At 43.9% G+C, this 16,628-nt stretch overlaps 1 long non-coding RNA gene across 1 annotated transcript, besides 3 other annotated features; it reads left to right on the forward strand.

Annotated features, from left to right (window-relative positions):
- Positions 7,226-7,417: a silencer, noted in NCBI's record as "fragment chr13:31019111-31019302 (GRCh37/hg19 assembly coordinates)". NCBI's record gives its function as "represses an EF-1alpha promoter that drives an FKBP-Casp9 reporter gene in an ReSE screen in K562 erythroleukemia cells {active_cell/tissue: K562}" and the evidence as "EXISTENCE:reporter gene assay evidence [ECO:0000049][PMID:32094911]".
- Positions 7,884-8,769: an enhancer, noted in NCBI's record as "NANOG-H3K27ac-H3K4me1 hESC enhancer chr13:31019769-31020654 (GRCh37/hg19 assembly coordinates)". NCBI's record gives its function as "activates a minimal SCP1, AML or CMV promoter by ChIP-STARR-seq in naive and primed H9 embryonic stem cells {active_cell/tissue: H9 hESC(naive and primed)}" and the evidence as "EXISTENCE:reporter gene assay evidence [ECO:0000049][PMID:30033119]".
- Positions 7,997-11,225, forward strand: LOC107984577 (uncharacterized). Its single transcript, XR_001749803.2, has 2 exons — positions 7,997-8,548; positions 9,617-11,225. It is a non-coding gene; the product is annotated as an uncharacterized LOC107984577 (long non-coding RNA).
- Positions 8,179-8,358: an enhancer, noted in NCBI's record as "active region_7535". NCBI's record gives its function as "activates an Ori minimal core promoter by ATAC-STARR-seq in GM12878 lymphoblastoid cells {active_cell/tissue: GM12878}" and the evidence as "EXISTENCE:reporter gene assay evidence [ECO:0000049][PMID:35858748]".
- Positions 11,226-16,628: the final 5,403 nt, after the last annotated feature.

Here is a 16,628-nt window from a genome sequence, read left to right on the forward strand (position 1 = left end):
TTAGCCTAAAATCACATGTGCACAGGCTAAAGATGCAAACCATTTTCTCAAATGAGCACCACATCTTTTCAATTGTTCTGGAATTGGTGACACTACCATCATCCTCTTGATTCCTGTGGAATCTTCTTGGACCCTGACCTTAATGTCCATTTTGCCTGCCCCATGGTGACCCAGCCCCAGTGAGTGTTTTACCTCCAATGGCCGGGAAACCACAGAACACGCTGCCTAAAGCACCATTTATTTTTTATTGTTTGAGACAGGGTGTCACTGTGTTGCCCAGGCTGGAGTGCAGTGGCACGATCTCAGTTCACTGCAGCCTTCACCTCAGGCTCAAAGGATTCTCCCACCTAAGCCTCCTGAGTAGCTGGGACTATAGGCACACCACCACGCCTGGCTAATGTTTTTTTTTTTTATGTTTTGTAGAGATGAGGTTTTGGCATGTTGCTCAGGATGGTCTTGAACTTGTGGGCTCAAGCGATCAATCTGCCTTGGCCTCCCAAAGTTCTGGGACTACAGACATGAGCCACAGCACCTGGCTTTTTTTTTTTTTTTTTTTTTTTTTTTTGAGACAGGGTCTTGCTCTGTTGCCCAGGCTAGAGTACAGTGGTATGAACTCAGCTCACTACAGCCTTGAGCTCCTGGTCTCAGGCAATCTTCCCACCTCTGCCTCCCGACTACAGGTGTGAGCCACCACACCTGGCTAACTTATCACAGATATGAGCCACTGCACCTGGCCAAGCACCATTTTTGTCACTGTCAGTTTCCTGCTTGAGAAATTACAGTGGCTTCTGCATTACTTTAATAATTGTGTCCTCCTTATGACCCTTTGTAGTCTCCAAAGGCTGGGCTCCTCTTCTGTTGCTGAGCTAATCTATTTATTCTCCCCGCCTGCGCTTGGCTCATTCCTGGGCCCAAGCCTTACCACTTGCTACTCTTCCTCTAAATTTGGATTTCTTCCCCTCTCTTGTCCTCAAACCCACTGTCACTTTTGAATTTGAAGACATGTTGCTTTGCACGCCGCTCCTCTTTGGGGTACATCTGTGAGCACCTGCATGGCTAAGAGGGAGTGCTCAGTGAGAACCCAGTGAATGATGAAGGTGTATGTGAATGACGATTGGATGGGAGAGGCTGCCCAAGTGGAAAAGCGGTATTTGCTTTTCAGTACAGGAAAATTTCCGTGATATTTTTCTGGCACACAATAAAGAAAATGCTATATTGAAGCAAATTAATATATTTTAACTTTGTGTAGATGCAGTGGGAATTACTTTTTAAATGGTGTATGGAAATAAAAGAACTGGTTGAAAAGAACAATTTTTCAAATGAATGTGTCTAATGTCTCCCAACAGATAAGGAAGGGAATAGAAATTTGTGAAGAGGATCACACACCATCACTTTTACACACTCACTATGTGATTTCGCAGTAGAATTAGAAAAGTCAAATTTCATAGTCCAAATGTAGAAAATAGTAGGAATTAGGGCTGGGTGTGGTGGCTCACACCTGTAATACCAGCAATTTGGAAGGCCAAGGTGGGCGGATTGCTTGAGTCTGGGAGTTAGAGACCAGGCTGGGCAACATGGTGAAACCCTGTCTCTACAAAAAATATATAAAGTAGCTAGGTGTGGTGGCTGGCACCTGTAGTCCCAGCTACTTGGGAGGCTGAGACAGGAGAATCGCTTGAGCCTGGGAGGTCAAGCCTGCAGTGGGTGGTAATGGTGCCACTGCACTCCAGCTTGGGTGATAAAGTGAGACCCTGTCTCAAAAAAAAAAGAAAAGAAAATAGTAGGAATGGCTAATTGATGAATAGGTTAGTTCAAAAGAGAGCTCCTAACTGCCCACTGGCCGTACCCCAATTAAAGTAACTTCCAGAAATAATTCTTCTTCAAAAATACATTATCTATGCAAAGGATTCTTTATTAATAACATACATCAGGGTTTGGCAAACTATCTGTGGGCCAAATCCAGCCCGCCTCCAGTTTGGGTAACTGTAAGTTGCTTAGAGTACAGCCAGGCTCGCTCTTTTTGGATTGCCGATGGCTGCTTCCAACTACTATGGTGGAGCTGAGCAGTTGTGATAGAGACCCTACAACTCACAACACTGAAGACCTAAGTTGCAGACTGAAAATGAACCTTACAGGAAAGGTTTGCTGACCCTTGACCTACATGATCTAAGGATATAGTGCGTAATTTGTCTGGAAGTGCCATTAACTTGCTTTCTCCAGTGGGAATGTAGCATGGTTGGGTACATTAATCCTGAAATAAGTGAGAGATCCAGACCTCCTGTGTGTCCTTCCCATCAGACACTGACCTAGGGCCTGGAATCTCCCTAGCTTGCTAAGGAAGCAGTGACCTCTGGTTACCAAGTAGAGGGATCAAGTCCTCCTGGCTTTCCAGGACTGTCATGGTTTAAAAACAAAGTCTCACCTTCCGGGAAATCCCTCAGTCCTAGGCAAACCAGGATGGTTGGTCACCCTGAGATATAATGGATAGATCATAGGGCCCAGGGCAGACTAACTTGAGCTCAAATCCCACTTTTGTGACTTCACACCATGCAACCTTGGGCAAATTACTTTACCTCCCTGAACCTCAGTTATCCTGTCTATGAATTGGGACTGAATCTATTTGAGGAGTTGTAAGGATTAAAGGAGATTATGGGCCAGGCACAGTCGCTCATGTCTCTAATCCCAACACTTTGGGAGGCCAAGGTGGGAGGATCAGATCACTTGAGGCCAGGAGTTCAAGACCAGCCTGAGCAATATGGCAAGACCTTGTCTCTACAAAGAAAGGAAGAAAGGAAGAAAGAAAGAAAAAGAAAGAAAGAAAGAAAGAAAGAAAGAAAGAAAGAAAGAAAGAAAGAAAGAAAGGAAGGAAGGAAGGAAGGAAGGAAGGAAGGAAGAAAATTATGCACTGAAAGAGCTTACTTGCACATAATAGACATTGACTAAATACTAGTTCCCTTTCTACCTTTTTGACCACCATTAGCTAAAGTTTTAAAAAACTCAATCTTTAGCCAAAACTCCTTTTTTCATAAAAGGAGAAAATTAGGCCAGGCATGGTGGCTCACGCCTGTAATCCCAGCACTTTGGGAGGCCGAGGTGGGCAAATCACTTGAGGTAAGGAGTTCGAGACCAGCCTAACCAACATGGTGAAACCCCATCTCTACTAAAAATACAAAAAAATTAGCCAGGCATGGTGGCGCACACCTGTAGTCCCAGCTGGAGGCTGAGACACAAGGATCTCTTGAACTGGGAGGCGGAGCTTGCAGTGAGCCGAGATCACACCACTGCACTGCAGTCTGGATGACAGAGAAAGACTGTCTCAAAAAAAAAAAAAGAGGAAATTAAAATAACTTTTGTATGCTCCCCATGTTCTAGTGATGTCATTTTTTTGCCCCTTATAAATACATACCTAATAAACAAATAACTTATTCTGCAGTGGAGAAAATAAACCATACACATATAATTGCCCGATTACTGTTTTATATTTTAGAGTCTGGAGACAAGTGGTTGCTTCTGTTTTGTCCAACTATGGATACATCGCAGAAAGGTTTGCTCTGCTCAACTAGTTAAAGTGGCACCTGATGCCCCAGGTCCGTGGCCAGATGCAGAACTCTGGGCAACAAGGGCCAGGGCCTTTTTCTAATCTAGCATTTCATGCCTCTAACGGAAAATGTTGGCAGGAAGTTGATAGAGCCTGAGAGTGCTACCTCACTTGTGATTCATCTGATGGATCAGTGTGACCTGAAGCACTAAGTTAACCAACAGGCTCATTAATTTTTAAAAGAGGTGGTTAGTAATAAACCAATAGTGCTGTACAAATCCAATAGCAGCCTACACACCTTCAAAAGTCCCCAGAATGAGATCAAAGGACAAGGCAGCATCAGTTTCATTCCAACAATAGCATTTTGATTTAACATCCACTTTGTTGGCAAATGTGCAGGAATAAAATAATGCGTATTCCTATAGTAATTTATATTCTAAATTACACTGAAAAGCCTAGGTGGTCCCCAACAAATTCAATTTCCTTTAGACTGTAGCTATATTAGTTTGAAGAATCAAGTTTGTACTGGATGAACTGATCAAATAAATCTAAAACTATCAGCATGTTAATGGAATATCCATTACCTAAGGCCAGGCGTGGTGGCTCACACCTGTAATCCCAGCACTTTGGGAGGCTGAGGTGGGCGGATCACGAGGTCAGGAGACCAGCCTGGCCAACATGGTGAAACCCCATCTCTACTAAAAATACAAAAATTAGCCAGGCGTGGTGGTGCGTGTCTGTAATCCCAGCTACTCAGGAAGCTAAGGCAGTGAGAATCACTTGAACCTGGGAGGCAGAGGTTGCAGTAAGCTGAGATCGCGCCATTGCACTCCAGCCTGGGCAATAGAGAGAGACTCCATCTCAAAAATGAAAATAAAAATAAAAATAAAATAAATAATGCATACCTAATGTATCATAATGGTTCAAAATACCTACAATCATAGCTGGTTCCCAATGAATTTAATTTACTTGAGCTTGTGGCCATATGATTTTAAGGAATCAAACTTTTTGCTTAATTTATTAGTCAAATCAGCCAAAACTTATAAATTCAGTGAAAAAAATAGTTGTTTGGCTAATTTGAGTGGTTAATGCAGTAAAGTGAGTCAAATTATTAGCTCAAAATACATACTGCCTTAATTTGATCTAAACTATAAACATCTGCTTTGCCTTTTTGGTTAGGGTGACACCAAAAAGCATTAGTTTCCAAACTTGGCTGAGCATTAAGAATCCCCAGGAATGCTTTTAAAACTTCCAAAGCCCAAGCCACACCCAGACCAAGTCAATCAGAATCCATTGGGTGAACCCAGGCATCAATCCCCTGGATGATTCCAATGTTCAGAATTCAAGAAATTCCTTGAGATCAGGAATTCAAGACCAGCCTGGGCAACATGGCGAGATCCCATCTCAAAAAAAAAAAAAAAAAAAAAAAGAAAAAGAAAAGAAAGCAATAGCTAACGATTTATTAAGCTGTCACCAAATGCCAAGCATAATGGCAGGCATTTTCCATGGATTATTTTATTAAATTCTCACACATACCAGTGAAACCTTATAAAGTCAGTAGGATTGTTGTGCCCATTTGACAAATGGAGAAATTGAGGCACAGGAGGCTGGGTACTTGCCCAAGGATACCCATACTAGCAAGTGGTCAAGTGAGAGTCGTCACAAATGCAGTGACTCCAAAGCTTTAACTTGAATTATTTTTTAAAACCAGTGACTTAAAACTCAGTGCTTCTTTAGGTCTTTGTACTTCCTTATCTTATGTCTTGAGGGCATTGGTTTGTATCACTTTTCTTTGTTTCTTGGTTTTCTTTGTTTCTGGACGCCAAGGCCTCTCCAAATAGCACGCGAAAGCAATTTCTCATGCCCCTGGGAGAGAGGTAGGCGTGGCTTTATGGATGTGATAGGCAGAGGACTTAATATTCTGCATTAACATCTCCTTCTCTCTCAAGGGAATTTCTAGCAGACTTAAAGCACTGTAGGCAACAGAAAGGAAACCTGAAATGCAACATCCACCTGGAAGACACATACATATTTGCTGAAGCGTGTTTCAAATTTAACTGAAAAAGAAGAAGAATATAATTGTGCTTCTCATTCACTGCAAATCTTGTGATTTCATAGTCTTCAGTGTTGACCTGTCAACCTGTATGGGTTGTTTGTTTAAAAAGGTTGTATTTTTATTTTATTTTATTTTTTTAGGCAGACCACTTAAGTATCATGTGTTACTGAATACCAGCTGAATTATTTTGTTGTTGTTGTTTTGACAGTCTTGCTCTGTTGCCCAGGCTGGAGTGCAGTGGCCTGATCATAGCTCACTGCAACCTCGAACTTCTGAGCTCAAACGATCCTCCAACCTCAGCCTCCTGAGTAGCTGGGACTACAGGCGTGCACCATCATGCCCAGCTATTTTTCAAAAAAATTTTTGTAGAGATGGAGATCTGACTTTGTTGCCCAGGCTGGTCTCAAACTCCTAGCCTCAAGCAATCCTCCCACCTCAGCCTCCCAAGGTTCTGGGATGATAGGTGTGAACCATTGCATCTGGCCCACCAGCTAAATTCTTAACATTTAAACTATAAACATTACAATTTTTTGTTGCAGAACAAAAATGAAAAGAAGAAAGATGAAAATACACTACAATGTCACGGTCATTTGCACCAGTTTCCTGTGTACAGCTCTGCTGCTCTACGCTCATTTCTCAATCAGGTTTTGTCTCTCTTTTTTGCATTAAAAGCTGAGAGAGGAGCTAAAACTGCCCTGAGAAGCTCCCCCGGGACCCTGCCTGATCATCAGGGGAATGGGGCCTACCTCAGCAGTCTACTTTCTTCATTCAGCCCTATAGCCTCAGGAGAGAAGTTTGTCTCGCTCAGAGGAAGCAGTGGCCGCTCTGTCCCATACCCTGTCAGGCCATTTCCCATAGGAGACTGGACCTAGGGTGTGTGCTCAGGGTCCCAGTTTCTGCGGCGTTGAGCGGGTCCGGTACTCCTTTCCACACCAGGCTGAACCCCAAGGAAGCGAATCCATGTCCTCGTGGAAGAATAGGCCCCAAAGTGCCAAGCATCAGCCCCGTCAGTGCTGCCTGGAGAGCCGCCTGTGTCCTGCAGAACTTACACCCATGCAAGAGTGCACCCACTCAGCAAATGCGGGACACCGTCAGGAAGAACAAGACATCCTTGCTTCAGCTTCCCTCCTGTCACCTTTCCACTTCCCTTTGGGGAAGGTGTGCCTGGGTTTGCACACGGACTGGGGCCCCATCCCTGTTCCCCGCTGTGTGTGGCAGGGCAAGGGAATGCATTTTTAAATACCTTTCAGGCTAGGATTCCTTTTTTTTTTTTGATGGCATACTCTAACTCCAACATTTCTTCTGTAAGTATCACCAGTTATTTTACTAAAATCTAGATTTCCCAATCCAAGTGTTAGGAAGGTACTATGCTGCTGCTGCTTTGGGGCTTTCTGTCTGGCAACATCTATAAACAGTGCAATAGTGACTGTAGTCAGTTTCACGGTCTCATGTCTGAATCTTTTTTTTTTTTTTTTTGACAGAGTCCCACTCTGTCTTAGCCTCCCAAGTAGCTGGGATTACAGGCGCCTGCCTCCACGCCCAGCTAATTTTTTATTTTTAGTAGAGAGGGGGTTTCACCATATTGGCCAGGCTGGTCTTGAACTCCTGAGCTCAAGTGATCTGCCCGCCTCGGCCTCCCAAAGTGCTGGGATTACAGGCGTGAGCCACCGCGCCCGGCCCTTTTTTTTTTTTTTTTTTGAGACAGTCTCCCTCTGTCCCCCAGGCTTGAGTGCAGTGGGGCGATATCTCGGCTCACTGCAACCTCCGCCCCACCAGTTCAAGTGATTCTCCTGTCTCAGCCTCCCGAGTAACTGGGATTACAGGTGTGCATCACCACACCCAGCTAATTTTTGTATTTTTAGTAGAGACAGAGTTTCACCTTGTTGGCCAGGCTGGTCTCGAATTCCTGACCTCAGGAGATCTGCCCACCTCGGCCTCCCAAAGTGCTGGGATTACAGGCGTGAGCCACGACACCCGGCCTAGGCTTCCTTCTTTAAAGACAAATTTCCAGTGGGGCTCTGTAAGTAATCCTCATATTTTCTCGTTGAGGAGTGTGGCCAGAGAAGGTGAGTCTTCTGCACGTAGCAGGGGGGAAATGGTCAGGAGATACTGTAAAAGCACTAAGAAAACCGGAAGGAAAAGGCCAGGCTCCAGGAGCACAGAGACTGGATGGATTCCTGCTTCCCTGTCACTCGGCTCTGTTCAGGCGGTGCAGTCACTTCCTTCACCTCAGTGTCCCTGTTTGTGCAAATGAGGTGACTATTGGTGCCGACCTACTTCCCAGGCAGTTTTGAAGAGAAGTGGCAAACGTTGAAGGGCGCACACTCTCCTTCCCCAAGCTCCCTCCCTCCCCACGTGTGCACCCAGAAGGAAATAAAAGCCGTAATTTGCACTGGCGAGTCGGCCCGCCTCGTCGAGGGTTCCGCTGAGCTGCTCACAAGGGCGTGCGGAGGCCCGCGGCCGGCCCTGGCCCCTGTGGTGGCAGCAGCTGGCTGGCTTCCCGGGCGGCTACCTCCAGCTGCAGCTGTCGGTGCTATTTGCAGCTCTCCACATCCTGAGAGCTGGACGCCGAGGACCGCTCCCTGGAGGGCGTGCGTAAAATGCAGCAGCGGAGCGGTGAGGAGATTACCGGAAAAACTGGGAGCGGAGTCAGGCTCGTTCTGGAGCAGGGAGAGGCTTGGGAAGTTGCGAAACGTTGACCTGCAGGGTCTTGAGGAACTGTCGGCCTGGGCTGTCCCCGTGGGTCATTGAACATTAATCAGCCACCAGTCCTCGACCAAGCCAACCGAAATAGAGTCAGCAGGCAGAATGACGAATACAGTTTGAAAGGGAACGAACTTACTCTTATTCTCTCCTTGGAAAGGCCTTTCCAGACTCTCGAACTCACCCCTGTCACATTACCCTGTTGTGTTATCTTTGTGGGCCTGCGCAGCACCTGAAATGATCTGTCTTAGGTATGTGTGTGCTTGTTCATTGTTTTGTCTTCTCCGTGAAAATCTAAGCTCCTAGAAACTTTGTGAGGGAGGCAATGGGTCTGTTTTGTTTACCTCTGCATCTGCAGGGCCGAGTACAATGCCCAGCTCATTTGTAAATGAGTGAAGGAGTCCCCTACTAGCAGGCTGCCTACTCATCAATCAAGTAGTTGTTGGGTTTCTCATTTTTACCTTTGGAGATGTTGTCTTCGACCTACGGGAAGGAATTGGATCTATTTGAGGGTAAAGAAATTCATCCTCCCTGGGTTTATGTATTTTCCAACCCACTGCATAGAGTCTGACAAAATATTAATGGTCTTCACTGTTTCTTTTGATGATGTCTGCCACTTGTCACTATTTAATGTAATTTCATGTCATTTAAAGAAAGTAAAATTAGGGGCTGGGCGCAGTGGCTCATGCCTGTAATCCCAGCACTTTGGGAGGCCGAGGCGGGCGGATCACCTGAGGTCAGGAGTTCGAGACCAGCCTGGCCAACATGGTGAAGCCCCGTCTCTACTAAAAATACAAAAATTAGCCAGGCATGGTGGCGGGCACCTGTAATCCCAGCTACTCGGGAGGCTGAGGCAGGAGAATCGCTTGAACCCAGGAGGCGGAGGTTGCAGTGAGCCGAGACTGCACCATTGCACTCAGCCTGGGCCACAAGAGTGAAACTCTGTCTCAAAAAGAAAAAAAGGAAAAAAAAAAAAGAAAGTAAAATTATAGGGTAACTAGAAAGTTACAATAGTGTAACAAGCATAATCATTTAGAAGATTTTCACCTGTAACGTGGTTAAGATAAGTTTGAGACTCAGTTCAATTCAACACATTTGACTTTCAGACAGATCCAATGTAGTCTGTTGTATTTAGAAAGAATTCAGACCTTTATAAGGACGATTTCATGACATTAATGAAATTTATGTGTTAATGGAACTGAAGGACTTCACTCTGAAAGCAAGTGTTCTCTAAACCTAAATATTTTAAGAAGAAAATTAGTTGAAAGTTTAAAAGCTTGTCAAAAGTGACAGTCATTTCATTTCTTTTCTTTTTTTAGAGATGGGGTCTCACTGTGTTGCCGAGGATGGAGTACAGTGGCTATTCACAGGCACAGTCATTGTGCACTACATCCTGGAACTCCTGGGCTTAAGCAATCCTTCTGCCTCAGCCTCCCAAGTAGCTGGGACTATAGACACACACCACCACACTCAGCAAAAGTGACAATTGTTTCTAATACAGACATCCACACCTGGACATACTGTGAAAATTATATTCATTGGGCATATTAGTGTCCGTTCTTTCCAAGATCTGAGTTCATAATGTTTTCTTCTGTAATTGTAATGAAATATCACCATTTCTTGCTAGCATTATACCAAATCCCTCTAGGCAACTGGGTAGCAGGCTATATGCCAACCTAGGTTTTTGGAGATGACTTGTATCTTGTTTGCTATTAGAGCCAACATGTTAGAATTTGTGATTTGTCACAGAGTAGAAGACGAGTTCACTCAAGAAGCACTTATTTATGAGCACCTACACAGGTGATAGAACAGTCAAAAGACAGGAGTTCTGGCCCTTCTGGAACTGACAATCTTACTAGAAAAATAAATGTTACCACATCACTTGAACAAAGGCACAATTATGCAATTTGAGTTGTGTTTTGACTTCCTTCCCACTACCTTGTTTTTTTGTTTTTGTTTTTTGTTTGTTTTGTTTTGTTTTTATGCTGGAGGTGTTGTGGGAGATGGAGTTTTGCTCTTGTCACCCAGGCTGGAGTGTGATGGCACGATCTCAGCTCACTGCAACCTCTGCCTCCCAGGTTCAAGTGATTCTCCTGCCCCAGCCTCCTGAGTAGCTGGGATTACAGGCATACGCCACCACGCCCGGCTAATTTTTTGTATTTTCAGTAGAGATGGGGTTTCACCATGTTAGTCAGGCTGGTCTCGAACTCCTGACCTCAGGTGATCTGCCTGCCTCAGCTTCCCAAAGTGCTGGGATTACAGGTGTGAGCCACTGCACCCGGCCCCTCCTTGCTGTCTTAATAGAAAGTGGAAAATAGAAATCTTCTGCACAAGGCCTTTGGTTTGAATGCAACATGCCTAGAGATAGGGAACTGGAATCCAACACCGTTGCCTACAGATCTTTGGAGACTAAAAGAGAAAAAATCCAGGAAAGAAAAAAAAAAAAACAAAAAACGGCTGCCATAGCTATTGGCCTCATTGGACAGGCCTGGGTGATGTGCACAGACCCTAAAGGTGGCCGGAGCTGACCAGCTTCCTATTGCACTCTTCTGGGTGGCCCAGGCACCCAGTTGCATTGGCTGTGGCCACTGAGAAAGGATTGAGTCAGGCTGAGCCATGGGCAATGACAGAGGAGAGGGGATCAGCAGAGCCTACCTGAAAGCAAAGGAGAAATGGGTCGGTCACCTCATCGCAGAATTTACAGATGAAGGGGACAAACTTGTTACCTGAGGGTTTCCTTCATGCCTTGGAGTTTCTCTGAAAGAAAAGACAGCTGAGCATTTGCCCTGTTTTTGTTTTACCATTTTTACACTTTCGAAGTCATGCCATCAAGTTTTAAGCTAGTAAGAGGACCATATACCGAATGGTACAATATCATAGTTCTTGTAGCAGCTACATTTTGATGAATAAAATTTCTTTTAAAATCTCTTTTTTAAAAATGAAGAGACTTCTTCTACCAGGCAGCAAATGTTTCTTTCCTATGTAAACTTAGCTTGCAAACATAATTTTAAACAGCTTTATCATGACTATATATCTTGCTAATTTATTATCTTTTTTTTTTCTTTCTTTCAGAGTCATGGTCTTGCTATATCACCCAAGCTGGAGTGCAGTGGCATGATCATAGCTCACTGCAACCTTGAACTCCTGGGCTGGAGCAAGCCTCCCAACTTGGCCTTCCAAAATGCTGAGATTGATTACAGGTGTGAGCCACCTCACTGGGCCTCTTGCTAGTTTATTGTTTAAAAATCTTCCTCAGGGCCGGGTGCAGTGGCTCATGCCTGTAATCCCAGGCCTTTGGGAGGCTGAGATGGGAGGATCACTTGATCCCAGGAGTTTGAGACCAGCCCGGGCAACATGGAGAGAGCCTGTCTCTACAAAAAATCAGCAATTAGCTGGGCGTGGTGGTGTGCACCTGTAGTCCCACTACTCAAGAGGCCGAGGAGGGAGGATCACTTGAACTCAGAGGGTTGAGGCTATAGTGAGCCATGATTGAGTCATTGCACTCCAGCCTGGGCGATAGAGTGAGACTTTGTCTCAAAAAAGAAGAATAAATAAATAAATAAATAAATAATAAAAGCCTTCCTTAGACTTTTTCCCTGGCACTTTCTGAAGTGATGGCAGATGGGTTTTATTCTGGTTCTTATAATAGCTAAAATTGGGTCACAGAAAGGAATCTAGATTAGATGACAAGATTATTATTTTCATCTGATAATTTCCATTACTCACCTAACTGCTGTCTTTCCTGGAATTAAAGAGAAAAGAAACTATGGAGGCCGGGAGCGGTGGCTCACGCCTGTAATCCCAGCACTTTGGGAGTCCGAGGTGGGTGGATTGCCTAATGTCAGGAGTTCAAGACCAGCCTGACCAACATGGTAAAATCCCGTCTCTACTAAGAATACAAAAAAAAAAAAGTAGCCGGGCGTGGTGGCGGGTGCCTGTAATCCTAGCTACTCAGGAGGCTGAGGCAGGAGAAATGCTTGAACCTGGGAGGCGGAGGTTGCAGTGAGCCAAGATCGCACCATTGCACTCCAGCCTGGGCAACAAGAGTGAAACTCCATCTCAAAAACAAACAAACAAACAAAAACTATGGAGACCCAGGTTCCAGGGCCCTTGGGTGGAGAATAAATTTTAGGAATTCCTTTGGATATCTGACAGTAGAAGCTATTCCTTGTAAGTCTGTTGCTGTGAAATCACAACATAGCTCATTTAGCAGCGGGACAGCCCATCTCTGGAAAAAAAATGGTGTGAGGGTGGAATTACGCCTTGGGAGGCCAAGGAGGGAGGATTGCTTGAGGCCAGGAATTCAAGACCAGCCTGGACAACATAGCAAGACTCTGTCTCTACAAAAAATAATTTTAAAAAAATTAGGCATGGTGGTGCATGCCTGTAGTCCTAACCTACTTGAGAGGCTGAGGTAGGAGGACTGCTTGAACCCAGGAAGTTTAGACTGTAGTGAGCCATGATTGTGCCACTGCACTCCAGCCTGGGTGACAGAGCAAGACTCTGTCTCATAAAAAAAAAAATGAATAAATAACATAGAAAAAAAGATATTCATAATAAAATAAAATGGAAATATTTTGATGATTTCTTAGTGAGATTTTAAGAATTGTTATTAATAGCCTACTAAGACCTAGAGGTAAGAACAAATTAGATTTGGCCTGAAAATGAAGATGTAGCAAAAAACAATAAAGAAAAAAATGGCATCTCTGTTTTTTGTTTTTTGTTTTTTTTTTCAGACGGAGTCTTGCTCTTTTGCCCAGGCTAGCGTACAGTGGCATGATATCAGCTCTCTGCAACCTCTGCCTCCTGGGTTCAAGCAATTCTCCTGCCTCAGCCTCCCAAGCAGCTGGGATCACACGCATGCACCACCATGCACTGCTAAATTTTAGTATTTTTAGTAGAGACAGGGTTTCATCACATTGGCCAGGCTGGTCTCAGACACCTGGCCTCAAGTGATCTGCCTGCCTCGGCCTCCCAAAGTGCTGGGATTACAGGCGTGAGCCACCGCGCCCTGCCAAAATCAATATTATTTTGATTTTTTAGTAGAGACTGGCCTGGGTCAGTTGATTCTTAAGTACAGTTATTTAAAAACCTTTAGGACCTTAACAATTTTTTTAAAAACTCCCAAGTTTTATATTTTTATTTATTTATTTATTTATTTTTGAGACAGAGTTTCACTCTTTCGCCCAGGCTGGAATGTAGTGGTGTGATCTTGGCTCACTGCAACCTCTGCCTCCCGGGTTCAAGCGATTCTCCTGCCTAAGCCTCCCGAGTAGCTGGGACTACAGGTGCATGCCACCATGCCGAGCTAATTTTTATATTTTTAGTAGAGACGGGGATTTCACCATGTTGGGCAGGATGGTCTCGATCTCCTGACCTCGTGATCCGCCTGCCTTGGCCTCCCCAAGTGCTGGGATTACAGGTGTGAGCCACTGCGCCTGGCCAAAATCAATATTATTTCTAAAGGTACACTGTAATTATCTATAGAAGCTCAATATATATAAATTCAGACGTGAAAGTTTGCAATGCTGCCTTCTAAAAGTTAAGTGCTTAAAAGAAACATGAGGCCAGGCATGGTGGCTCACGCCCATAATCCCAGCACTCCGGGAGGCCGAGGCGGGCGGATCACTTGAGGTCAGGAGGTTGAGACTAGCCTGGCAACATGGTGAAACCCCGTATCTACTAAAAAATACAAAAATTAGCCAGGAATGGTGCAGGCACCTGTAATCCCAGCTACTCAGGAGGCTGAGACAGGAGAATCGCTTGAACCTAGGAGGCGGAGGTTGCGGTGAGCTGAGATTGTGCCACTGCACTCCAGCCTGGGCGACAGAGCAAGACTCCATCTCAGAAAAAAAACAAACAAACACAAAAAAGCCATGAAATTTACACTGCTTTTCAGTGACCTATGTAGGGTAAAATCCATTACTCATCAATGTATGAAAAAGATTCCTATGGGATTGTCTAGAGGATAAATTATACATAATTAATTCAGTTTCATGTTGGCCTATTGGCCACTGTTAAATGCCTGAAAGAATGTTGATCTACGTCTTGGTTTTAAAACAGTATGTGAAAATGTTGTTATTTAACCTTATTTAAAGAAAAAAAATCTGATACAGTTACTAATTAGTAAATTTTGGAGATTATGTAGGTTTTTACAAAGTACAGTGACACAATGAAGTAAAAAGCAAAAAAGCTCTAATGCTCGTGCAAAATTTTCAGTTTTTCTACCAATTCCAATTGATCTAGGCATTCACTTTTTGCAGTTCTGCAATTACTTGAATATAAAAGCTCTTTCTGTTAATCTCCAACCTGAAAAGTAGTAAGGTAACAGAAGTATAAAGAGGAATGGACATTTCAATCCAATGGTTTTCCAAGTTTTTCAGGCTTTTTATCTGCTTGCTTTTGAAGGTTTACTCCTTTCACGATTCCCCCCACTGTTGTAGGCTTGAACCTTTATAAAATCTTAGAAACCATGACCCTATTTTGTATCCCTTCTATGTAAAATTGTCTGAATAGCCTTTTAAAAAGTTGTTACATTTGGGTGAAAACTTTCCAAAGGTAGCTTGGTAAAATTCACCAAATTTGGCTCATCTTTTGATTCAGTGATTTCCCTTTGAGGAATATATTTATATCCTAAGAAAATAATTATGGGCAAAGGTGTGAGCATAAAGAAAGGATAGTCATGTTAACCTTATATGTAACAGTAAAAAATCATAAACTAAATGTCTAATAATATGGAATTGATTGAATAATTTATGGTATTTTACATTCAGGCACTTAAAATAATGCCCAGCAGAATAAGAATATATGATGACATAGACTTTTTTAATATTTATATTTATTTATTTATTTATTTTGAGATGGAGTTTTACTCTTGTTGCCCAGACTAGAGTGCAATGGTGCGACCTCGGCTCACAGCAACCTCCGACTCCTGGGTTCAAGCAATTCTCCTGCCTCAGGCTCCCAAGTAGCTGGGATTACAAGCACCCACCACCATGCCCAGTTTATTTTTGTATTTTAGTAGAGACGGGGTTTCACCATGTTGGCCAGGCTGGTCTCGAACTCCTGACCTCAGGTGATCCACCCGCTTCAGCCTCCCAAAGTGCTGGGATTACAGGTGTGAGCCACCGCATCCGGCCGACTTTTTAAATTTTTTTAAAGACAGGATCTCACTCTGTTGCCCACGCTGAAGTGTAGTGGCACCATCTCAGTTCACTGCAACCTCCGCCTCCCAGGTTCAAGCGATTCTTGTGCTTCAGTCACCTGAGTAGCTGGCACTATAGGCGCATGCCACCATACCTGGCTAATTTTTGTATTTATAGTAAAGACAAGCTTTCACCATGTTGGCCAGGCTGGTCTCAAACTCCTGGCCTGAAGTGATGCGCCTGCCTTGGCCTCCCAAAGTACTGGGATTATAGGTGTGTGCCACTGTGCCCAGCTGACATAGACTTTTGTTCAAGATAGACTGTGAAGTAGAAAAAGCAGCTTACAAATGCAGTATTTTTAAATTATTAACATTTTTTAAAACATATATATGTATGTATATCTATATGCACACAACACTACAAAAAGACAACTCAATTTAAATATGGGTGAAGAACTTGAATTAGTTCTCCAAAGCATACAAATGGCCAATAAACACATGAAAAGACACTCAGTATCATCAGTCATTAGGGAGACACAAATCAAATCACAATGCGATTCCACTTCACACCTACTAGGATGGCTATAATTTTAAAAAATAGAAAATAGGAAGTGCTGGCAAGGTTGTAGAGAAATTGAAACCCTCATACATCATTGGTGGGAATGTGAAGTGGTGCAGCTGCTGTGGAGAACAGTTTGGCAGTTCCTTAAAAAGCTAGTCATAAAATTACCATATGACCCGACAATTCCACTCCTAGATATATACCCAAAGTATTGAAAACAAGAACTCAAACAAATACATGTACACGCACATTCATAGCAGCATTATTCACAATAGCCACAAGGTGGAAACAGCCTAAGACCTTATCACTGGATGAATGAATAAGGAATTATGGTATATACACACAATAGAATATTATTCAGCCTTAAAAACGAATGAATGGGCTGGGAGCGATGGCTCAGGCTTGTAATCCCAGCACTTTGGAAGGCCGAGGCAGGCGGATCACGAGGTCAGGAGATCGAGACCACAGTGAAACCCCGTCTCTACTAAAAATACAAGAAATTAGCTGGGCGCAGTGGCGGGCACCTGTAGTCCCAGCTACTCGGGAGACTGAGGCAGGAGAATGGCGTGAACCCGGATGGCGGAACTTGCAGTGAGCCGAGATCGCGCCACTGCACTCCAGCCTG

Source organism: Homo sapiens, chromosome 13 (assembly GCF_000001405.40).
Source record: "Homo sapiens chromosome 13, GRCh38.p14 Primary Assembly".
NCBI classification, from domain to species: domain Eukaryota; kingdom Metazoa; phylum Chordata; class Mammalia; order Primates; family Hominidae; genus Homo; species Homo sapiens.